The 22,203-nt window shown below is 46.0% G+C and overlaps 1 protein-coding gene across 1 annotated transcript in view, besides 3 other annotated features; it reads left to right on the top strand.

Annotated features, from left to right (window-relative positions):
- The window catches only part of MARCHF4 (membrane associated ring-CH-type finger 4), a 114,619-nt gene that overhangs the window by 70,939 nt on the left and 21,477 nt on the right, over positions 1-22,203 (top strand). The window contains exon 2 of the mRNA NM_020814.3: positions 17,816-17,971. Within this exon, the coding sequence (NP_065865.1) occupies positions 17,816-17,971 (156 nt within the window). The remainder of the gene's footprint in view (positions 1-17,815; positions 17,972-22,203) is intronic.
- Positions 17,278-17,797: an enhancer, noted in NCBI's record as "H3K4me1 hESC enhancer chr2:217148471-217148990 (GRCh37/hg19 assembly coordinates)". NCBI's record gives its function as "activates a minimal SCP1, AML or CMV promoter by ChIP-STARR-seq in naive H9 embryonic stem cells {active_cell/tissue: H9 hESC(naive)}" and the evidence as "EXISTENCE:reporter gene assay evidence [ECO:0000049][PMID:30033119]".
- Positions 17,798-18,318: an enhancer, noted in NCBI's record as "H3K4me1 hESC enhancer chr2:217147950-217148470 (GRCh37/hg19 assembly coordinates)". NCBI's record gives its function as "activates a minimal SCP1, AML or CMV promoter by ChIP-STARR-seq in naive H9 embryonic stem cells {active_cell/tissue: H9 hESC(naive)}" and the evidence as "EXISTENCE:reporter gene assay evidence [ECO:0000049][PMID:30033119]".
- Positions 17,880-17,929: a silencer, noted in NCBI's record as "silent region_12304". NCBI's record gives its function as "represses an Ori minimal core promoter by ATAC-STARR-seq in GM12878 lymphoblastoid cells {active_cell/tissue: GM12878}" and the evidence as "EXISTENCE:reporter gene assay evidence [ECO:0000049][PMID:35858748]".

Genomic DNA, 22,203 nt, shown 5'->3' with positions numbered 1-22,203 from the left:
CAGGAATGCTGTGCCATTGCTTCAAACCATACAGATGGACAAATGGCACACACACAGTACACTGGGGAGTTGAGCTTATATTTGGAGACCTCTCTGAAGTCGAAGATTGACAATACAAGTGACAGTAACTATGTGGTGCTTCTCTCATGGAAGTTGGGGGAAGCACAGAGATGAGAAGATTCACAGGCTCCGTGCTCCAGTACTAATCGCCCAAGTGTGAGAAGGTCCTTCACCTAGGCTGGAGTCCAGCCCTGGAATTGGAACTGTGGTGTTGCAGCTGGGAAGGCCCCTGAGCATGGGAGGTTCTTGCTGCCATGCACCTGTTTGAGTCCTTTCCCTTGGAGCTTCCCTAACCTGCTTTGGGGGAGCAGACCAACTCTTCCCTGTACCTCCTACCATGATGCTTTCACAGCCAATTAAAATTCTATTCCATTCTCAGCAAGGGAGCTGGCAGCCTTGGGTCTCCCCAGCAGGATGCGCTGGCTGCAATTAATGTCCCTTCTGGAGCCTGATTAGCTAAGGAGCGGCCAGGATACTTATCCTATCCCCAAAGCCACATTTAAATTAGGAAATGGGGGTTTCTCATTTTATTGCCTCTATTAAGAATCATCAGTTAATGCAAATGTGTTAACTCCTTTCTATTTCATTTGTGGTAGTGGACCCAGATCAGAAAGCCAAGAGGTCATTTCACAACTTGATGGTCCCAGGAACAAAGGGAAGAGATACCCTTTGATTCCTTTAGTCTTCAAATTCCAGACCATTGGAATGAATTGAGGGCACACTTGATTAGGCACAGGCTAGGAGTTGGGGATTCAACAGAAGCCGTGGGAATAATGTTTATTATTATTATCTTCGAGCTTTGTATGTATAAAGTAATGTATAAGAATGATGCATTTAAGGGCCAGGCATGGTGGCTCATGCCTGTAATCCCAATACTTTGCGAGGTCAAGGTGGGTGGATTGCTTGAACCCAGGAGTTAAAGACCAGCCTCAGCAACATAATGAAACCCTTCTCTATAAAATATACAAAAAAATTTAGCTGGGTGTGGTGGCACACATCTGTAGTTCCAGCTACCTGGGAGGCTGAGGTGGGACGATCACTCGAGCCTGGGAGGTCGAGGCTGCAGTGAGCTGTGATCATGCCACTGCACTCTCACCTGGATGACAGAGTAAGTCATATATATATATATATATACATATATATATATCGAGATGGACATATATATATGCACATATATATATGCATTTAAGAAAAAATTCAAATGATGAAAAGGAGGAGAAAAGAAAATTAATAAATATGGCATGTTTATTGTGTAGCAGACATTTTACATACATTATAGCAAAGAATCCCAAAAAAATTCTGCACTTTTATAGATTATAGAGTTAAAGCTCAGAGAGGCTAAGGGAATTGCCCAAGGTCACAAAGTTAATGTGGTAGATTGATTGTACTAATGGCTCTAGATCTTCATGCTTCCCTATAGCCACTTTCTTTGGGTAATGCCTACCCACACTGACTCCGAAGTAAGCCACATGATTTGCTTTGGTCAGCGGGACATTAGCAAACTTGATGCAAATAGAGGCTTGAAAGGTGCTTGTGCATTGAAAAGTGCTTGCCCTCTCCTGCTAGTGGGAACTCTTCTGCCTTCAGGCAAGCAAGCCTGGGCAATTCTACTGGATGATAAGAGACATGAGGCAGAGGACAGTCAACCTATGCTGAATCAGACAGTGTCCAGCCAAGATTAACCAAGTCAGATCAGCAGAACCATTCAGCCAACTTTTAGGCTTGTGAAAAGTAATAAGTAGTTGTTATTTTAAGACACTAATTTTGGAATGCATATGCAGAAGTGAAGTCAGCAGCTGGTGTTAACTGATACAGCTAGTAAATGACGGAGCCAGAAGTTGTCTGATCTGAAAGCCTGTGTGGTGTTCATTCACCATGAAAAGATAGGAAAAGGCTGAAATTGCAGCAGGGAAAATACAGGTTAGATTAAGATATGTTTTTAACCACAAAGTCTTTCAGTCATACAAGAGTCTTATTGGGGAAGAGTGTGGGGTTCCCATATCTAGGTATCTTACAGAGGGTGGTGGTGGGCAGTTATCTGACTGACAAGTTTTAAATGTGGGACCTTTCAGCCCAGGTGTCTTTGCCCTAAAGTTTGCCATCTCAGAGACTGACTATGCTGAGACGCTTGATGAGAATACTCCACGTCATTCCTGTCATCTGTCAGTTCCACGGAGAAGGCAAAACACCCAAGCTAAGATTCTGCAGCCTCCAGCTGGCAAGGCACCCCCTGGTTCTCTTTCATGGCTGAGACCCCCCTCCAAGATTGCCACAGTTGCACTGCTGCTCATTTCTGACTTAGCTATTCCCCAATCCTGCAGCCACATCTCACTCCTTCCCTACAGTGCAAAGAAAGGTAGGGAAAAAAAAAAATCCCAGACTGTCTATGTCTTCTGAGCCTTTCTTTTCAGGATCACAGTGGTGGTGATGTTGACAGTTGCCCATGAGAATGAGGAGAAAGGACAAAACCTCAAACATGGGGCAATAGCAGCAGATAGTGGCACGCTCAGATGACATAGGTGGAAATTTGTGTCATCCTCCTGAAGGCCGATTTGGCAGTATGTGTAACAGCCTTAAAAATGCCTTTTGAATTAGTAATTCCATTCCAGGACTGTCTTCTCAGGAAACACATGGACAGGACCTGTGAAATCATGGATCACCATGAGAATTTTTTTGTGACATAGTGTGAATGGAAAAATACAAGTTAAAAACAGGCTGTACATTATGTTCCTGATTTAGGGGGAATTTTATGTGTGGGAAGGGGCTGTAGTTATGAGGAAAATTTTGATTTACAATAAATCTGTACATATTTTTAAGATATTTTAAGATGGGAATAATTTTTCCTTCCCAGCCTCTGGGCACATACATCCATGGCTATCTCAAATGTAGCAGGAAAACATACCTTAAAAACCTAACAGAGGCTGTGCATAGTGGCTCACGCCTGTAATCCCAGCACTCTGGGAGGCCAAAGCAGGTGAATCTCTTGAGCCCAGGAGTTTGAGACCAGCCTGGGAAACATGGTGAAACCCCATTTCTACAAAAAATACAAAAATGAGCTGAGCGTGGTGGCACACACCTGTAGTCCCAGCTACCCAGGAGGCTGAGGTTGGAGAATCACTTGAGCCTGCGAGGTCAAGGCTGCAGTGAGCCATACTGTGCCACTGTACTCTCCAGTCTGGACAACAGAGTCAGACCCTGTAAAAAAAAAAAAAAAAAAAAAAAAAAAAACCTAAAAGACTGGTAAAAGTAGTCTGGAAAAAAAGTGGTTGTTGAAATGATCAATGACATGAGAATAGAATTTAAAAATAGAACTTTTCAGGGTGGATGGAGGATGGTTGAGCAGAAGATGAATGAAGATTAAATAATTGTGAAGCATAAGAGGATGGGGAACATGAAGTTGGGTCACCAAATCCCAGAAAATAACTGAGAACAGCAGGTCCTGATTGCTTGTTTAACTATCTAGTCATCTGAAATAAAAAAGGTAATATGTTATATACCAGCTATTAATTAAGTGAAATATAGGCCTAAAAAGCATGGCAAAAGCTGAGAATCCATCTGGATTTGAGAGAGTGTGTCCTCGTTTGTGACTGTCTCTTGGGCAGGTGCCCTCTTGAGTTCTCAACACCAGGGCTAAGAGTCAGTGCTCAACCAATGCCGCTGAATGGCTCCTAAAAGAAGACCATAGGGGAGGGGTGTGGTGGCTTACTTTGGGATGCCGAGCCGAGTGGATCACCTGAGGTGGGGAGTTCGAGATCAGCCTGACCAACATGGAGAAACCCTGTCTCTACTAAAAATACAAAAACATTAGGCGGGTGTGGTGGCACATGCCTGTAATCCCAGCTACGTGGGAGGCTAAGGCAAAAGAATTGCTTGAACCCAGGGGAGGCGGACGTTGCGGTGAGCTGAGATTGTGCCACTGCACTCCAGCCTGGGCAACAAGAGGGAAATGCCATCTCAAAAAACAAAACAAAACCAAGAAGAAGACCATGGGCTATGGCCTCTCTCCTTTGGACGGAAACAGTGCTGGTCCATAAATATCCCCCTGATCCCTGAGTGCAGAGGTGTGGGCTGTTCTATGAGCTTTGGCCCTGTCTCATGTTGGTTTTCACATATGGATCGGAATGGGAAAACTGGAAGGCACTGGTGAGCAAGGAAGACCCCAGAGCTCCCTTCCATCTGCCAGGACTGGGGGTAGGCAGTCTGACCAGATGCTGGGGGAGGAGAGGAGGACCTTTGATGACCAGGCCCTTCCCAGCTCTAGAAGTAAGGAATGTAGAATTCTTTGAAACAGAAAATAAAATTGCCAAGATGACAGAAGCTACAGCCACTTGGAGCAGCTTAGCAGAAGCTTGGAGTCAACAGACCGAAGTCTATTCACACGCCATAGTAATTCAGATTCTACTTAGCATGCTTATTCCTGACAGGGAACTGGAGCCAAGATTTCAGGAATAGTACGTTTCCTTGAGAGGTGTGAAAAGAACTGGGCCAGGTTTCCAGCAGACTCTGGCACGGCTATCACCTGGTGAGAACGACGAGGCATCAATCTCCCAGGGGCGCAGGACCCACCCTTTGGTGCTCTGAGCCCAGAGTAGGGTTTGGTCTTCAATTTTTTCCTAGTTCAGTGCTGCCCCATTACGCCACCCTCAGAAAGGCCAGTGCCCTCTCTGGGTGGCAGGTTTTTCAGTTTAAATTGAGTATAATGATGAAGCTGATAATGAAGAAGAAATACAAGTCCCACATAGAGAAAGAATTGAAAAACAATTTAAATGTTTACTGCAATGTCTTTATAAAGTGGGCAGAGAAAATGATAGGGCAGAGGTTTCTTTTTCTTTCTCCCATTCCCCTTTCCTTGCTAAGCTCTTAAAATGCAGATCATTTTACCCTCTGGACCCTGCTTTCACTTTCTGCAGACAAAACAAAACCCCCAGTTGCTCCTAGAAACACACAAGCTCACAGCCCTACCTGAAAGCCAGGAAGTAAGGAGAGGAGATGCTGTTTGTTTCCTCTGGTCACAGGAGGTAGAAACACACACATGTGCAGGAAGAAGGCTTGGGGAGGGGTGAGTCCTTAGGAAGAGACATGGAGGCCGGCAGGTGCAGAAAGGGCTGGGGTATCTGATTTTTTTGTTTTGTTTTGTTTGAGATGGAGTCTCGCTCTGTCGCCCAGACTGGAGTGCAGTGGCACGATCTCAGCCCACTGCAACCTCTGCCTCCCGGGTGCAAGCGATTCTCCTGCCTCAGCCTCCCAAGTAGCTGGGACTACAGGCACATGCCACCAGGCTCGAGTAATTTTTTTTGTACTTTTATTTTTATTTATTTTTGTTTGTTTGTTTATTTATTGAGATGGAGTCTTGCTCTGTTGCCCAGGCTGGAGTGCAGTGGCACGATCTTGGCTCACTGCAACCTCCACCTCCCAGGTTCAATCGATCCTCCTGCCTCAACCCCCCTAGTAGCTGGGATTACAGGCATTTGCCACCATGCCCGGCTAATTTTTCTATTTTTAGTAGAAACAGGGTTTCGCCATGTTGGCCAGGCTGGTCTCGAACTCCTGACCACGTGATCCACCTGCCTCGGCCTCCCACAGTGCTGGAATTACAGGCGTGAGCCACCGCACCCAGTCATGGGGTATCTGTTTTGTTCTTTCCTCCCCTTGACACAACAGGGCTGTTAGCCACACCTGGAGACAACTGGCTTTCAGCATAGTTATTACCCACACACATGATCTAGGCTCCCAGGCAAATACACACTCTCAGATTTCAGACTGATGAACTTCATTTACAAGGCAGTAAAGTGAGGTGCCTGGGAAGGCCATACACAGAAGGCACCCCTTGTCCACAAGCAAAGAAAGCAGTGTCCTCTCCCTACCTCTTTTTGTTAGCATGTGAAGGGATGAAGTATGGATAGGTGGGTACATGAAAGCCAACAATGACACCACAATAAACACTCCCTAGGTTTCAGACAGGGTCCTAAGAACATCTCACAGCCGGGTGCAGTGGCTCACGCCTGTAATCCCAACATGGCAACATGGCGAGACCCCATCTCTACAAAAAATAAACAGAATTAGGGCACGGTGGTGCAGGCCTGTAATCCCAGCAACTCAGGAGGCTGAGGCGGGAGGATAGCTTAAGCCCAGAAAGTTGAGGGCTGAAGTAAGTTGAGATCACGCCACTACACTCCAGCCTGGGTGACAGGGCAAGACCCTGTCTCAAAAAACAAAACAAAACAAAAAACAAAAACCCTCACCTTGTGTTATCCCATTGAATCCTCATGAGCACCTGGGAGGCAGGAAGTATCTTTGATCCTACTTTACCCCTGAGAAAACTCACTACAGGTCAGCAAGGATTCAACCCAGCCAGCCTCGGTCTGCAGGCCCCGCTAACCATGCTGTATCACCCCATGCATATCAGGTGCTCAGGACAATACCTAGCCTCTAGTACATGTTCAAAGGCGTGAGCTACCAAGAGAGGCTGCAACAATAGCAGAAGCACTGGCAAAGCGGTATAGCTGCAGATGGTGTGGATGGGGTTTGGAGTAGGTAAGTACCTTGCACAACATCCCTCACCAAGCAAGTGGAAGAACTGGGATTTGAACCCAGCAGTCAATGCTTGCATACAGGGTTGGGCACCTGATAAGTGCTCAGTAAGTTTCAGCTATTAGTATTTATTTTTATCTTTGTATACATAAGAGTCTTAATGTAGGAGACAAGGTTTGCTGAAGAGTATCTGGTCCAGCGCTTCACAAAATGAGTCTCAGCCAACCTTACTTCAAGAGAAGAAGAGAGGGTCTTCATGGAATCAGAATCTCTGGAGTGAAGCCTGAGCTTCTGAATGCGTAACAAGCCTCCCAGGTGATTCTTACACATGCCAAACTCTGAGAACCAAGAAATCAAGGCTTAGATTGCTTAAGCCCATGGCTGCCAGCCTGAGAGGGTGGCAGAGCTGGAATTGATTCTTAGGAAAGATCTTGCTTTTCTTGCTTTGTAAGAGTCAGTGATACACAGAAGTGTTTCTAAGTGCCTGGGGCCATGATCCGGAACATTAGTGAAGTGTAACTTGTCATCACAGCTCATTTGCACTTGCAACATCTGCTGTTTCCCCTGAATACACTGAATATTAATTACAGTGACTGAAAATTAATTTTTGAAGAATTTCACCATAGCTCCTACAAAGAACACCATGAGGGTTTTGCACAGCTGAGGCTGGGATCCCTCTGCCTGTGTACGGAAGGCTGCTCGTAAGAGGCAAGAGTATTTGCCACTTAACTTGCCAGGGGGCCTGTGCCTTTGCCTTGGCTTGATTTCTGGGAAAGAAAGAGAACATGGTGACCTGGCATCCCTGAAATTTCAGGGTAGTGGCCTGGACCTTGAAAACAGGCCCAGCCCAACATATGCAAATAGCGCAATTCTGGTCATGCAAGATTTATCTAAATTATGCTTTTCTATTTAGCCAGGGGGAGAACTGAGAGCAGGTCAGTCTTTAACTGTAGCTGTTTGGTAACAATGGTGATGGTAATGATGAGTTATGCAGAAAGACAAACGGACAGTATATTACACATTTAGGTCATTAGAAATACAGATATGATTATAAATGTACACATTAAACGTGACCTTTTTTTCCGCCAGACCCCATATAGCTTGGTTTGTTTATTATGCAGATCATGTTTGACTTCATAGAATTGGATGTTATTTAAATTCAATTATTGTGAGGCTAAGTTCTTCTTTCTAGTACTGGTTGAGTAAATTTAGAGGCAGTTAGAGGAAATAGGTACATTTGTCTTATACCAGTAAAATTATAGGGAGAAAAGCACTGTAGGAACAAAATAATTATTGTGAAAATGAAAAACATAGTTTGGAGGGTTTGGCTTGGATCTGTTTGTTTTCCTTGTCTCTTTTTACATTGTTTTTTTTTTTTTTTTTACATTGAAATGATGAGCAGAAAGGCTGGAAAATATTCCATGAAGACGGAAGCAGATTAAACGTGTGTATGTGTGTTTGTGTGAAAGTAAGCTGCTGGTAGGAGAGTAGAACTAGAAATAATTATGTGGTTAATTGGATTTAGTGTAGATAACTACAGCTCATTAAGGCCTTAAATCTTTTTTCCCTAGTAATAGAGTTCTTTCTTTTTTTAATCAAATTATCTTGCAACAATGCCTTATTTCCTCTTGCCAGTGTCAACACACTGTTAGTCTCCTGAAGCCAAGACTTGGCCTTGGTGCCATCAGGAGGGAAGCGAGAAGCCCAGCATGAGCTGGCTGGGAAGGGAGCATGTGAAATGCCATGGACGGGTGGTGCAGCTAAAGGATTGGCTGGGACGGACTCCAGCCAGAAAACAAAGAGCTGCTCACACGCTATCAGACACCACATGAGGAGAATTCAGATTGGCTGGTCTGTGAACAGCAATGGATTCTAGGGCCATAGAGGATCTTTGAAGGTCATCTTGCCAATCGGCCTGTCTCCCACAGATAAGGGGGAAACTCACTTAACTCACTTAATCATTCTCTAGGGCAGCAGGAGTCAAACCCTTCTCCATTCATCTCTCCTCCACAATCTTTGTTGGAAAGAAGGTCTTCATGATAGGTCATTTTTCTTGATCCTGATACCAGGATACATTGACCTCCCACAGGTCTGTAGAGTGAAGAAATTACTGCCTGGTGTCCTGAAGGAAGAAGACACTGGAATCTTCTGGTTTCTCCTAGCTTATTTCTATTCGCTGGCCCCATTGGTGATCCTCTTTTGTCTCCTCCCCCGCCGAACCCTTTCCACCAACCCGGATCACAGACACAAATAGTTGGTCAATATCACACACAGTTTGGTTGTGCCAATAAAGTTGGTTGTGTGTGTGTTACTGACAAGCCTTATTGTTAGCTGGTTCCTCAAATGTAGAGTCCAAGAAGTGTTACAAAACAGTACTTTCTGTCTCAAGTCTATCATCATAGAGATGATCTAATACGGACACTGGAGAATTCCTACTTTCTCTGTCATCTCTCCTTATTCTTCTCCACAAATCCAGTGAATTTTTCTGCTCCTATACCCATTCCTCCCCACACTAATACACATGGGCTCCACCTCCACCCTGGAGGGGAAATTCTGATTTTAAGGCTTTAGATTCTCTAGATTCTCTGAGTCTTCACAGTGGAACAACTACAAGGCAACTGGACATTTCCTGCTAATGTGGACTCCATCTCAGAGCAAATTTTAATGGGTTGCTATGCTTCCAAAAACCTCTGTCCCTTAACTTTCTCTTAACAGATATCTCCCCCTCACCAAGGGTGGGGTTGTAAATAAAGTGTGAAGGGGAAGTAAAACCCCATGTTGTCCCACCCCCTAACATAAACACACATCAAATAATCCCCAGTAAATACTACCAACCAGGAACTGGTTTAGAGGAAAGGGACTCAGAGGAAAACACAATATGGTTTCTGTCTTGGTGTTAATATGATAACAGGGGAGCCAGCAAGGGCATCTCTTACATAGGGACAAGGAAGGTAAGGGTCTGATGGACAGGCTGCTGTGGGTGGGAGAAGAGACAGAAGGCAAGAGTCACTGCAATGGGCAGAGAGGATGTGGGTAAATTTGGTGGACAGACGGGTTCCAGAGCCCTCCTTTTCCATTTTCTTGAGCAAGTAACAACCTCTCTATCTTCATCTATAAAGTGAAGGAAATTGTTATTAGCTTCACTTAGCTTTTGAGGTAGTAGTTGGTATAATGTCTGTGAAAGTGTTTGTATGTAGAACTGTGAAATATTTATAACAATAGAATTATTAATAAGAAAATGTTACAGAGAGGAGAAAGAAAGGAAGCCAGAAAATTGATCAACATTTGAAGTGGGTGAGAAGGTAGGCTTAGAAGTGAGGAGATCTGCTATAAACTCTTACCTATTAGCCAGCATTTACTGAGAGCTTACTGTGTGCCAGGCATGGAGCTAAACAGAGTCTCTTACTACCCTCCTCCCTCAGTTTCACAGATGAGCCATTTTATTTTAATAGAAAGGACACTTCATGCTGCCCATAAGCATACTTTATTTCTCTAGTCTAATTGCCCTAGAACTCTCCTGGATGACTATTTTATACCAGTCCTCAGACATCCAGGACCTCCCCCGCCAATCTTCACTCTCAGCGTATGCCTTTTCTTCATATTGCACTAAGAAAATAGAAGAAACCAGAAAGAAAACTTGCCAGGTCCACGGTTAATGCTTGGTTCCCATCAGCAGCACTTGACAAGGTCCATTACTCCCTGTTTTCTTGAAACAGTGTCGTCTTCTTGGCTTTTGGAAAAATGTCCTCTTGCCATCTCATTGAGCTTCCCTTCTCAGTCTCTTCTGCTGGTTCTTCTACATCTCCTGACCTCTAAACATTGGCATCCTCTAGCGATCACCTCTGGCACCCCTTCCTTTTCCTACCTATACTCACTGCTTTGGTTGTCTCATTCAGACTCAGCTTTTAACACCATCTGTACACCAAATGACTCTCAAATTTATATCTTGAGCCTGGACCTTCCCCTAAACTCCAGATTAACATGTATCTCAGTACTTACGTGACATCGCCTCCTGGATATCTAACAGGCATCTCAAAGTTGACACTTTGAAACTGAGCTCCCAATCTTTCCTCCAAACCTGCAACTCCTTCAGTCTTTCTCATCTCAATTAAAGGTAACTCCCCATCCTTCTCATTGTGCAGGTAAAAATTAGCATCATTCTTGACTTTTCTACTTCTCTCCTTACCACATCCAATCCATCAGCAAATCTTAACATCTACATCCTCAAAATGTATCCTGAAACTGACCATTTCTCAGGACTTCCTCTGCTACAATAGTGGTCCAAAACACCATCGTGACTCACCTGGATGAACACAACACCAGCCCTTATTTCCCTCCAGTCTGTTTACAATAGAGCAGCCAGTGATCCTGTCAAATATGATCAGATCATGCCACTCTCCTCTGCTCAAAACACTCATGATTGCCCATCTCACTCACAAATGCCAAGTCCTTAAAATGATTCACAAGCCTGGCCTGATCTGTCCCCTGACTCTTGATCCCTGTTATATCTCTAACTTCATTTTCGGCTCCTCTTCCTCTAAACTACTCTACCCCAGAGACACCAGCCTTTTTGGTTCCCCTAGAACATACCAGGCATGTTTCTGCCTCAGGGCCTTTGCACTTGATATTCCCTCTGTCTGGAATGCTCAGCCCCCAAATAACTGTATGGCTTGCTCCCTTACTTTCCTCAGCTCTTCACTCAAATACCTCCATTGAGTGAAGCCTTCATACACAGTCACCCTATGTAGGATTTCAACTCACCCCCTCCTTTCTATTCCATTTCCCTTTTCCCTGCTTATTTTTCTCCATAGCACATAACAGTCTCTTAGGTATATATGGTTTACTTTTTAATCATATTTATTGTCTGTCTTGACTAGAGAATTTTAGTCAGTTCCATTCACTGCAGTATCCTTATCACCTAAAACAAAACCTGGAACATAGTAGATAAATATTTAATGAATAAATGATAATTGAGCAAGGCCCAGAGACGTTAAGCAACTTGCCCAGGGTCACACAGATTGTAACAGCTTGGATATACCCAAGTCTTCCTGAGATTAGAGCCCAAGCTTTTCACCACCATATTAGTCTTATTAAAGGATTATGCCCCTAAACTGCACCCCAAGGCTGGTGTTCCTATTGTCTCCTTTTTCTATTCTCTCTGATTTCCAAACTACAGCATGGTACACGACTGCCTTTGCTACACTAGACTGTATTTATTTCTTTCTACTTAGTGGCAGGGATGCCTGACACCTGTGTGGGCAGAAAAGGAAGTCTTTGGTTTACCTGTCACTACCATGGCAACCAGGTAAGCTAGGGACTCCAGAAGCAAGACCTTCAGACTGAAAGATGTGAAAAATGAAACAAGCTCAAAATAAACAGAAAGAAATCTATAAATGGAGAAACAACTGGAGACTGGCGTCTGCAGCTTGCTGTGTTATTGGCAGTGTTGGGAGGGAAACAATTTCTCCTCAACCATCACAAGTTTCTAGTTGGGACAGACCCTTGTAACAAAAGACAGATAAACAAGAGAAAAACGAGCAAGTTTATTAGGGTATGCAGTGTGTATCATGTGGGAGAAACTTCAATGAAAGGCAATTCACTGGCTTAGAACTCTGGCTAATACAGCATCTTCAACAAAAACAATATATTTTTAGAGAAGTGGCAAGACAAAGGAAAAGGACTTTGAGTCTCTATGGGCAGCAACTTGGGTGGGGGGCGGGTGGGGAAGAAAACAAAGGGCAAAAGAACTTCAGTGAGTAAAGCTCGTTAATATAAATTCCTCTATTGCAGTAAGCCTTGCAGTGAGCTGAGATCGTGCCACTGCACTCCAGCCTGGGTGACAGAGCGAGACTCTGTCTCCAAAAAAAATAAATAAATAAAAATAAATATATATATATATATGTTTATATATATATAAATTTTTATATATTTTCATATATAGATATATATAAATTCCTCTGGTGTCATCTGGAGGCTGATGAGGGTCTAAAGCTGTCTTCAGTGTTTACCTTTGTTCTCCTGATGGAGAGGGAGAGGCAGGATAACTTTTGTCTTTGTAAATCTATGTCCTGCTTTTATGCAAATAGAGAAAGAGCAGAGAGCTCTCCTAAATCTGCTGCTTCTTAATTGTCTTAGCTCAACACGCCTTCGTATTTTGGGGAGGCATATTATTGTCTCCCACTGCAGTGAGCGGAATACATCTGTTCTCCCTCCCACCACCTCCATCACAACCAAGGCTAAAAGGGTCACCTCCTGCCTCCTGCCTCCTGCCTCTAGCACGACCCCACTTAACCCATGCAAGAGGCCTGCACTCTTCTTCTGTTTGGCATCCCCTGAAAAGAAGCTTCCCCAGATGCTCCCAGTGTCCCCAAGGTGACATAAGGAACAATCTTGGGCTAGAAGTCAGGGTCCCTTATCCATCCCAGGAGGGCAGAGTCTCTTAGAAAATTCTTTAATCTTTACTGCTCTTGGTGACTCAACTGACTCTTTTCTTTAGGCGGTCGTTCCCTTCCTTATCTATTTCACCTGTCTTAGAGTGACAGTAGGAAATAGAGTTGCAGAAGAAAAAACTATGAAATTAAAGTTCTTACAGAAATGTGAGTTAGAATTGTAATAGTTTAACAGGAGGACTTACTTGTGCCATGCACTGTGTCAAACTCTTGCATATATGATCTCATTTAACCCTTACAGGCCAGGCACAATGGCTCACGCCTGTAATCCCTACACTTTGGGAGGCTGAGGCCGGAGGATCATTTAAGCCTAGGAGTTTGAGATCAGCCTGGGCTACGTGGTGAAATCTCACCTCTACAAAAAGTACAATACATGTTGCTGGGCATGGTGGCATGTGCCTGTAGTCCCAGCTACTCAAGAGGCTGAGGTGGGAGGATCACTTGAGCCTGGGGAGCTCAAGGCTGCAGTGAGCCATGATCATGCTACTCTGCACCCCAGCCTGGGCAACAGAGTGAAATCGTGTCTCAAAGGAAAAAAAAAATCCTTACAATTACCCTTGAGGAGGTAAGAGTTACTTGCAACGGAAAGATGAAGAAATGGAGCCTCAGAGAGGTTAAGAGACTTGGCTAAATTTGCACAGCTGGTGAACAGACACTCAAAAACAAAGCGGCTGTTTCCCAAAACCATGTTCTTTTTTTTTTTTAATTTTATTATTATTATACTTTAAGTTTTAGGGTACATGTGCACAACCTGCAGGTTTGTTACATATGTATACGTGTGCCATGTTGGTGTACTGCACCCATTAACTCGTCGTTTAGCATTAGGTATATCTCCTAATGCTATCCCTCCCCCCTCCCCCCACCCCACAACAGTCCCGGGTGTGTGATGTTCCCCTTCCTGTGTCCACGTGTTCTCATTGGGAATTGAACAATGAAACCATGTTCTTCACCACTCCCCCACAGTGTGTCCCTTGGGGGCCAGATGATTAGAGAAGATCCCATTTTTCTTGTTTTAGTCATTCCCAGGGCAGTCTCTGGCCCCAGCACTCTGAGCAGATCATTGAGGAAGTGTCTGGTGCCCTTTGCATTTAATGAGTCCCTTTGATCTGTGGAGTTTGCTGAGCTCTGCAAACAAGATCACAGTAATCCTCCCAGCCCAAATGCTGGAGCCGCAGTAGCTGGACCAGAGGGGCTTTTCCTTTCCCATACCCTAGGGCCTGTTCAATTAGTAAGCACGCCTTAATTGTACATCGCTGATGTGCTCAGTTCTAGGGGGTATGTAGGAGCAGCTCTAATCCCAGAGCATTTGAAAATGGTGAAGTACCAAACTGTGGATGATGGTGGGAGACTTGGCTGAGGGTCTGAGCTGGGCCAGGAATTGGGGTGGGACCTGGAGAAGGGGAGACTTACAGGCACAGGTGCAGGTGGGGCAGCAGGATCCAGAGGATGGAAGGTGGATGAGCACAGCGGGTGGTGAAGCTCAGCGTCTGACGCCCGTGTGACCTTGAGTGAGTCATTTAACCTTTCTCCTCAATCAGAGATATCTCTTATATTGAGAGAATTTTACTAGGGTAGAGGGGGCGAGAATTCATCTCAGTGTCCATGTAGCTTTTAACAGAGCTTACTGCAAAGAGCGTCTTCCTAAGTTTAGCTTGAATCCATCTGGCTCATTTCCACTTCTGTTGTTCTTGGAGACATACAGGTCTGACCAGTAGTTGGCAAAGAGTCCCTGTGAAAGCTTTTTAGAAGCCCTAAACACTAAAAAGATGATGGGCTTTCCCCGAAATGTATATAGAAATACACTAAATCATAACCTACAAAATTTGCCTGAATGCAAGAGTTAAAATAGCTCGTTTCTCTGGATTCCACCCAACCCCCACAGCAAATACCCAATCATCACTTCCTTTTTCCTTTATCAAAGTTAAACTTTTCTAACAGTTTGTTGTCCTTGCTTTATTTTCTTCTTCTTCTTTTTTTTTTTTTTAGATGGAGTTGCACTCTGTCGCCCAGGCTGGCACTGCAACCTCTGCCTCTGCCTCCTTGGTTCAAGTAATTCTCCTGCCTCAGCCTCCCGAGTAGCTGGCGTTTTAGGAGCATGCCACCATGGCCAGCTAATTTTTATATTTTTTGTAGAGATGGGGTTTCGCCATGTTGGCCAGGCTGGTCTTGAACCCCTGACCTCAAGTGATTCACCTGCCTCGGCCTCCCAAAGTGTGGCATTACAGGCGTGAGCCACTGCACCTGGACCATCCTTGCTTTCTAATATTTGTAATGCCAGAAGCAAGTCCCTATGCTGTCTTTTGGGGTTTTCTTCTCCCTAAAGGAAAATGAATGGTTCGCTGGAGGGGAAGCAGCATAGTCCTGGCCTCTTGTCCCTTAGCCAGGCACTGGGATTAGGCCAGGTCACGCTCCTCCTTTCTCCACCCAGATTAGCATGCTGAGGCTCAGGGGGCTCCCATGAGCCCCAATGGTCCCACAACCAGAGCCCGGGTCTTGTTATCAGCTGTGCCCCAGGCAGCAGCTCTTCCTGCCTTGTCTCTTGGCTGCTGCTTGGGAAGCAAGGCGTGGAGACTTCACTGTCATTCAGCACCGTTGCCAGGGACCAGAAGTAATGTCTCTTACCTGATGGGCAATTTGACGTGGCTGCTTAACAATCCGATTAATCAAACCCAGCTCATCCTGTTAGAATTAATGAGCCTAGGAAATGCTGCCACGAATAATGAGGAATTCCACCCCTCCCCCAGCATGTCTCTCCACTCATCCCCTCCTGTTTCCTTTTCAGAGTCATATAGCAGCTCCTCAGTACAAGGGCCCTTAGGCCGTGATGGGTGTGCCAAATACCCAGCAACGTGGGCATCTCCAGCCTCTTCTTCTCCTCTCCAGGAGGTGGCTGCCTACCTGTAGTCAAAGGCTGGCCATGTCCTAGAGAAGCAAAACTTCTCGTTCATAAAACAGATATGCGTGCATTCAGCTCTCAAAATTGGATTGAGTATCAAACTTTACCAGGCCCTTTACTAGATGTTAGGGCTGCAAAGATGGATAAGATATTGTCCCTGTGAGGAGCAAATGGGGGCATGCTATAACAGAGGGTATGGGAAGGGCCTGGAGCCACAGCAAAGAGGGCCTGTTGTTATTGGAGGAGCAGAGTGGGGAACCAAGGAGGGTTTCATGGGGATGAGCACCTGAGCATTTCTGCCAAGTTCATTTATTGCGCAAATACAGAGTGCCAGGCACTGAGCAAGATGTTTGTTCCCAGAGTTAACAAAATGGATGTGGTTCCCATTCTCACGGAGTGGGCATTCTCATTCCTGTTCCTCAAGGCAGTGCAGGCAACCTGAGAAGACACTTGATTTATTTTTTCATGTACTTATTCAAACATGAAAACTTATTTAGGGCTTGGCACTGGAGGAAAGGGGTGCAAAGATGAATACCTCACCCTGCCTTCTGGGGCTCCTCTCGTGGGTAGACAGGGATATGCATAGATCCTCATAATGATGTGCCAAGTGTGCTAACAGGGATGAGCCCAAGTCACTCAGCATAAGGCACTCAGAGCTCAAAGCACTGTGCTCAACCTGGAGAAGTCAGGGACCACTCCCAGTAGGAGGCGGCATTCGAATCATCTTGAAGACAGTAACAGCTGACAGGTAGACCAGGTGTTAAAGGACATTCCAAACCTCAGCCAGGCCACAATGAGATCCTTGAATGATAGGAGTTGAAATGGAAAAGAAATATGATTCCAGGAATCTTAGAAGGAAGAGCTGATTCTATAGTCTGCAGCCAAGTGCATGATTACAGAGGCAGATGGAAATCCGTAATTTCAAGACCAGCCTGGGCAACATGAAGAGACCCCATCTCACAAAAAAAATAAAAAATTAGTCGGGCATGGTGGTGCATGCCTGTAGTTTCAGCTACTTGGGAGGCCGAGGCCAGAGGATCACTTGAGCTCAGAAGATCAAGGTTGCAGTTAGCCGCAATCGTGCCACTGCACTCCAGACTGGGCAGCAGAGTGAGATCCTGTTCCAAAAACAACAAACAAACAAAAAACACAGGTTTCAGCCATGGCCATCTGACATATGGTCATGGGAAGTTCTGGAGAGTGAGCCCAATGCTGCCGTCCACTCAAAGGAAGTTTCAAATCCTCACACCATCTTGCTCAGTTGAGTCCTCTGCCTCTCTGATTCCAACTCCTCCAAACTGGGCTTCCTAGCTACCCCCAGCCAGACCCAAGGGTGACTGGAGGGACCCAGGCCTTCAGTGAGGGCATTTGTCCAACCTCCTAGATCCCCACATCTACACTGGCTAGAGCTGATGGTGGCTTTCCCTTTAGCTTGGGTCTGATCCTTCCAATTCAGTCTCCACTAGCTAGCTTTTGTTATCTCTGTTGCCTGTCTGTCCTTGAGGGCATTTGAGTTTGCAACTCTTGGCTGAGCCTTTACGGAGACACTTCTGCAGCCTGACACCCCACTGTGAACAGCAGAGGCTTCCGCAGAAACCAGCCCGCTCATGTTCGTAGAACCTTAGTAATTAATAGTACTGTGCTGTATCAAGCAGTAGCAGGGGCTCAGAGCCGTTTGTTGTGCTGACCAACATGGTTTGGCTCTCATGGTGGGGGTGCAGGAGCCCAGGCCTCCTCCATGGAGTCTGGTGCCCCCAAACAAAGCCTGTGGCCTACTTGGGTGGCTCAAACCAGGCTGCAGCTGCCACCCTCCCGCCCATCACTCACCCACCAGCCACTGTAGGTCTCAGCCTCATCACCCTGTGCTCTCTCCCTGCAGGGGGAGCTGCTGAGCCCATGCCGCTGTGATGGCTCGGTCAAGTGCACACACCAGCCTTGCCTCATCAAGTGGATCAGCGAGCGGGGCTGCTGGAGCTGCGAGCTGTGCTACTACAAGTACCACGTCATCGCCATAAGCACAAAAAATCCTCTGCAGGTACAACCCAGGGCTGCCTGGTGGGGTTGCTGGGCCTGGGGCTTCCACACCACCTGCTTTAGCAGGAGGCTTACTTCACCTTAGATTCAGGGCAGTTTGAGGAAAAGGAAGAAGATGGGCTGGGTGGGCAAGCACGGTGGGCGGCGTGGGGCAGGAGGGGATGAAAGGACATTTGTGTTTTCTCTTAAGCTTCAGCAAGAAGAAGAGGAAGAGATGGGGCAAAGAGAGGGAAATAGATACAGAAGGAAAGAAGTGTGGAGAATCAGAGGGAAAAGGGAGAATAAGTAAGTGAAAGGATGAATAAATGAATGCAGAAAGGAGAGGAAGAAAGAAGGAAAGGAAAGGAAGAAACGAAGGAGGCAGGGAAGAAGAAGAAAAAGAGAGAAAGGCCAGAGGGCAGAAGAGAACAGGAAACAAAAAGACAGAAGGTGGGAGGGGTGAGGAGAAGGACTGAGATCAAGCTATGGGCTGGTAAAGAAGAAATAAGAAGAATAGACTCAATGGCCCTTCTCATACATCAATGTGCATGTAATTGATCTGCAGTCTTCTCAAAATGCAGGCTATTCTATAGGTCTGGAGCAGGGATGTTGTATTCGGTAGGTCTGGAGCATCTGTTGATGCTTCTGGTTCAGAGACCACACTTCCAATGGCAAGGGACAGAGGGAAAAACAGAAGAAACAGGAGAGGGAGGCAGAGAAAAATGGGAATAAGAGCAATAAGAAATAGAAGAAGGGGAGAGAATATTAAAAAGCTACTGTGGAAAGGCAGGCAGGGCCAGGGTGGAATGAGGGCCTGCCACACAGATTCAGACAGAACTTAGGGATCCTCTGCCTGCTCCCACCACTCTATCCCTGCCCTGACACATCCATTGTCCCCAGGGGAGCTGGCAGGCCTGTGCCACCCTCACAAATGCCCCAAATCAAGCAGCTCTCCTTTGAGGAGCACACACATACAAAGAGCATTTTGCTTCTGAAAATACCTCCACATATCCATGATCAACAAATTAAGCTGCCACATAATCAATTAGTGAGCACGAGAGTGAGGATGGGGACTTCAGCTCCTGGCACAGTCTCACTCCTCCTCTCTGGGGTGGTGGTGGAGGGGGGAGTCCTGAAAGCCCAGGAGGGGTAATGGGGGTTGGGAGGGATGGTGGCGGTGGGGTCTTTGCATGGAGGAGCAGCTGGAAGCACCCACAGCTATGGTGTCCAGGGTGTTTTATTTTACACCCCATAGAGTTTTACATGGGGCAATCCCAGGAATGAGTGTGTGTGTATGTGTGTGTGTGTTGCACACACACAAGTGTGCTGGGGTTGCAGGGCATTTCTGGAAGGTGGCACTAAAAGCCCCAGGCACCTTAGCCCTCTTAGTAGTATACCAAGGGGCCATAAAGAGGTGCCTTTCCCTGCTGCTGGTTCCATCTTCAATTCATTTCAAAATCTCAAAGTGTCTTAAAATAGCAGTGTCACGAGACAGCTGACTCCACGTCCTCTGGGTTCCAGCAGGGGTCTGAATGCATTAACCCTCCCCTTCCTTTTCAGCCAGCTCAAGCCTCAAGAAAGGATCAGATTCCAAACTCATGAGCCCACCCCAAAGTACCCTTCCTTGGCTCCACCCTTGGCTCATAAAGTGAAAATGCATTTAGGGATAACTTTTTCCTGGGGGTAAAAAATGAAAAGGTTATTCTAATCTCCCAAGTCAGGTAAGCAAGTGGCAGTGTTAGCAATATGGATCTATAAGGATCCATATGGATATATTCCTGAGTCCCTACCCTGTCTTCCACTGTGAGTTTCTTGACACTCACTGCTGGGGGCTCCCTCTGATTCTGTTGCTCCTGGAAATGCAATTGTGTGTGCTCAGTAAATGCCATCTCACTTCTGGATAGCACTGGAAGAAGGAAGTAGTTTGGATTAGAAGCAATTTTGTGTGGTTGTGGTCCAAATTGTCCCAATTGTATGTCCTGTGCTCCTCAGGCCCAGCAACATGTGAGACAGCTGCCTGCTCAGTACAGTGGGCAACTTCTGGGCTACTATGCCCCAGCCCAGCTGGATCATTTGCAGTGTAGGATGGAGCTGGCAGGCCCCACCACAAGTGGGCGGAGCAATGGATGGGAATCCCAGGCCTGCCTCTGCTATCAGAGAGGGGAAGCTCCTTCCAGGTCTCCTGGTTCTCTTACCTCCTGGTTCATGCCCCAGACAGAGTCATGAGAAATAGGCCAGGCATGGTGGCTCACATTTGTGATCCCAGCACTGATGGGAGGCTGAGGCTGGAGGATCACTTGAGGCCAGGAGTTCAACACCAGCCTGGGCAACATAATGAGACCCTGTCTCTACAAAAGAAATTAGCTGGGAGTAGTAGCCCATGACTGTAGTCCCAGCTACTCGGGAGGCTGAGGTGGGAGGATTATTTGAGCACAAGAGGTCTAGGTTGTAGTGAGCTATGATTATGCCAGTGCACCACTCCAGCCTGGGTGGCAGAGCGAGATCCTGTCTCAAAAAAAAAAAAAAAAAAAAAAAAAGTTGTGAGAAATAATACACTGTTTCCTGTGTCACATGGGGCATCATCTCAGCGACCCTCCAGAAGCAATATTTCCAGCCAGAAGAACCACTGAGAAAGGAGGCACAGCATGGCCCTGAGAGTCTAAAGGTTTCATGGCTGCTTCCTACTGTCTCTTTGTTACATGTGAATTGCAATTATTAATGAACATTTAGTTAGTGCTTATTAGGGGCCAGTCAGTGTTCTAAATATTCACATATATTGTATAATTTAGTCCTGGAAACAACCCAGTGAAGTGGGCACTATTATTTTTCCTAAACTACAGATGAGACAATGGAGGCACAGAAGGGTTCACCAACATGCCCAGGGTGACACAGCTACCGAGTGGTGGCGTAGATGTGGGGGTCTGACTCCTGGGTCCAGGTCTTAACTTCTGCACAGGCACGTTTGGGAATATCCCCTCCTTGACAGGCTGATCTGTATTTTTGCTGAAACATCATTAAGAATGCCCTTCAAAGCACTGGTTTAAGAGTGATTTCATTTAACATAACACTCTAGGAAGCAGGAAAGACCAATTATTTCTATTTTACAGAAAGGAAAGTTGAGGGTCCTCATGATTGATTGACTTCTCCTAGGTCACACTCAGTGCGTAGGAGCGGAACCCAATCAGGATCGGGTCATCTGATCCCTCAGTTGGTGCCCCTTCCTGTTCTAAGGCACACAGCATTCAGTCTCTGTGCTCTTCCGCTTGTCTCTCCATTCATTGGTGCTGCAGGATGGGAGTTCAGGGTATGGAGAAACCTCATGATACTGAGATCAGAGTGGGGATCTGGTGGCAGCCTGGTACCCTGGGTGTCCTTCTCCCCCTCCCAGCCCTCCTGTGAGTTTTCAGAGCTCGCTCACTCTCTGCTTTCTCCCTCATCTCTGTGGAGCCTCATATGGGACAGACAGGAGGAGAGTGCCTTGTCCATAGAACCCCACCCTGCTCCTTCGTCACGCTTCACACTGCAGTCAGGAGCCCCATTTAGGTTCCACAGCTGGCTTCAGAGGTGGTAGAAGGGGTTTTAGGGATGAAGAGAAGCTTTCTGGGCCTCTATATTTGGCATTTTTGAAGTCTAGAGGAGCAGGAGAAAGTGAGGATGATGGATGCCTCAATGGTAGAAACAAAAACTCAGCCAGAAGCCCTCTTTCCAGGCAGGAGGGCAGGCCCTGGAAAAAGCATTTGTTGTGCATGAAAGAAGTCTGTATGATGAAGTCATCTTCTGGAAAATCCTTTCATTATGTGTAACCCTAGGCGGGGGGAAACAGTGGAAAATGTAAAGGCCCAATTACCTGTAATGGAGGCTATCTGTTTAATTAAATGTAGACGCTGATGTCCTATGTCTGGACCAGCAAGTGAAATGTTTCCCAACAGTTAAAATTCCCTGGAGGCCACTGGCCAGGCCAATCCCAGCTGCAGCCAGAATGAATCAAATGCTTCCATCCGGGTCTCCCTGTTGGCAGAGGGAAAGTAGTCTGCCTTTCCTCAGAGTTCAGTGAAATGCTTTCTGGGGGTGTTCTTTGCAGAGTGCTATGCAAATCTGTCCAGTCAAAAGATGTCCTCCCCCTACCTTCCCAAATTTGATCCTGTCAGTCCTCTGCTTAAAACCATTCATATCATCACATCTACACTTAGGACAAAGCACAAAGTCTCTGCATATTCTACAAGGTTCTGTGTGATCTCTCATTCTTCCTTTTCC

The sequence above is a fragment of the Homo sapiens genome, chromosome 2 (genome assembly GCF_000001405.40).
Source record: "Homo sapiens chromosome 2, GRCh38.p14 Primary Assembly".
In the NCBI taxonomy this organism is placed as follows: domain Eukaryota; kingdom Metazoa; phylum Chordata; class Mammalia; order Primates; family Hominidae; genus Homo; species Homo sapiens.
The sequence above is the reverse complement of the archived record's forward strand: the minus strand, read 5'-3'. Positions and strand labels throughout refer to the sequence as shown.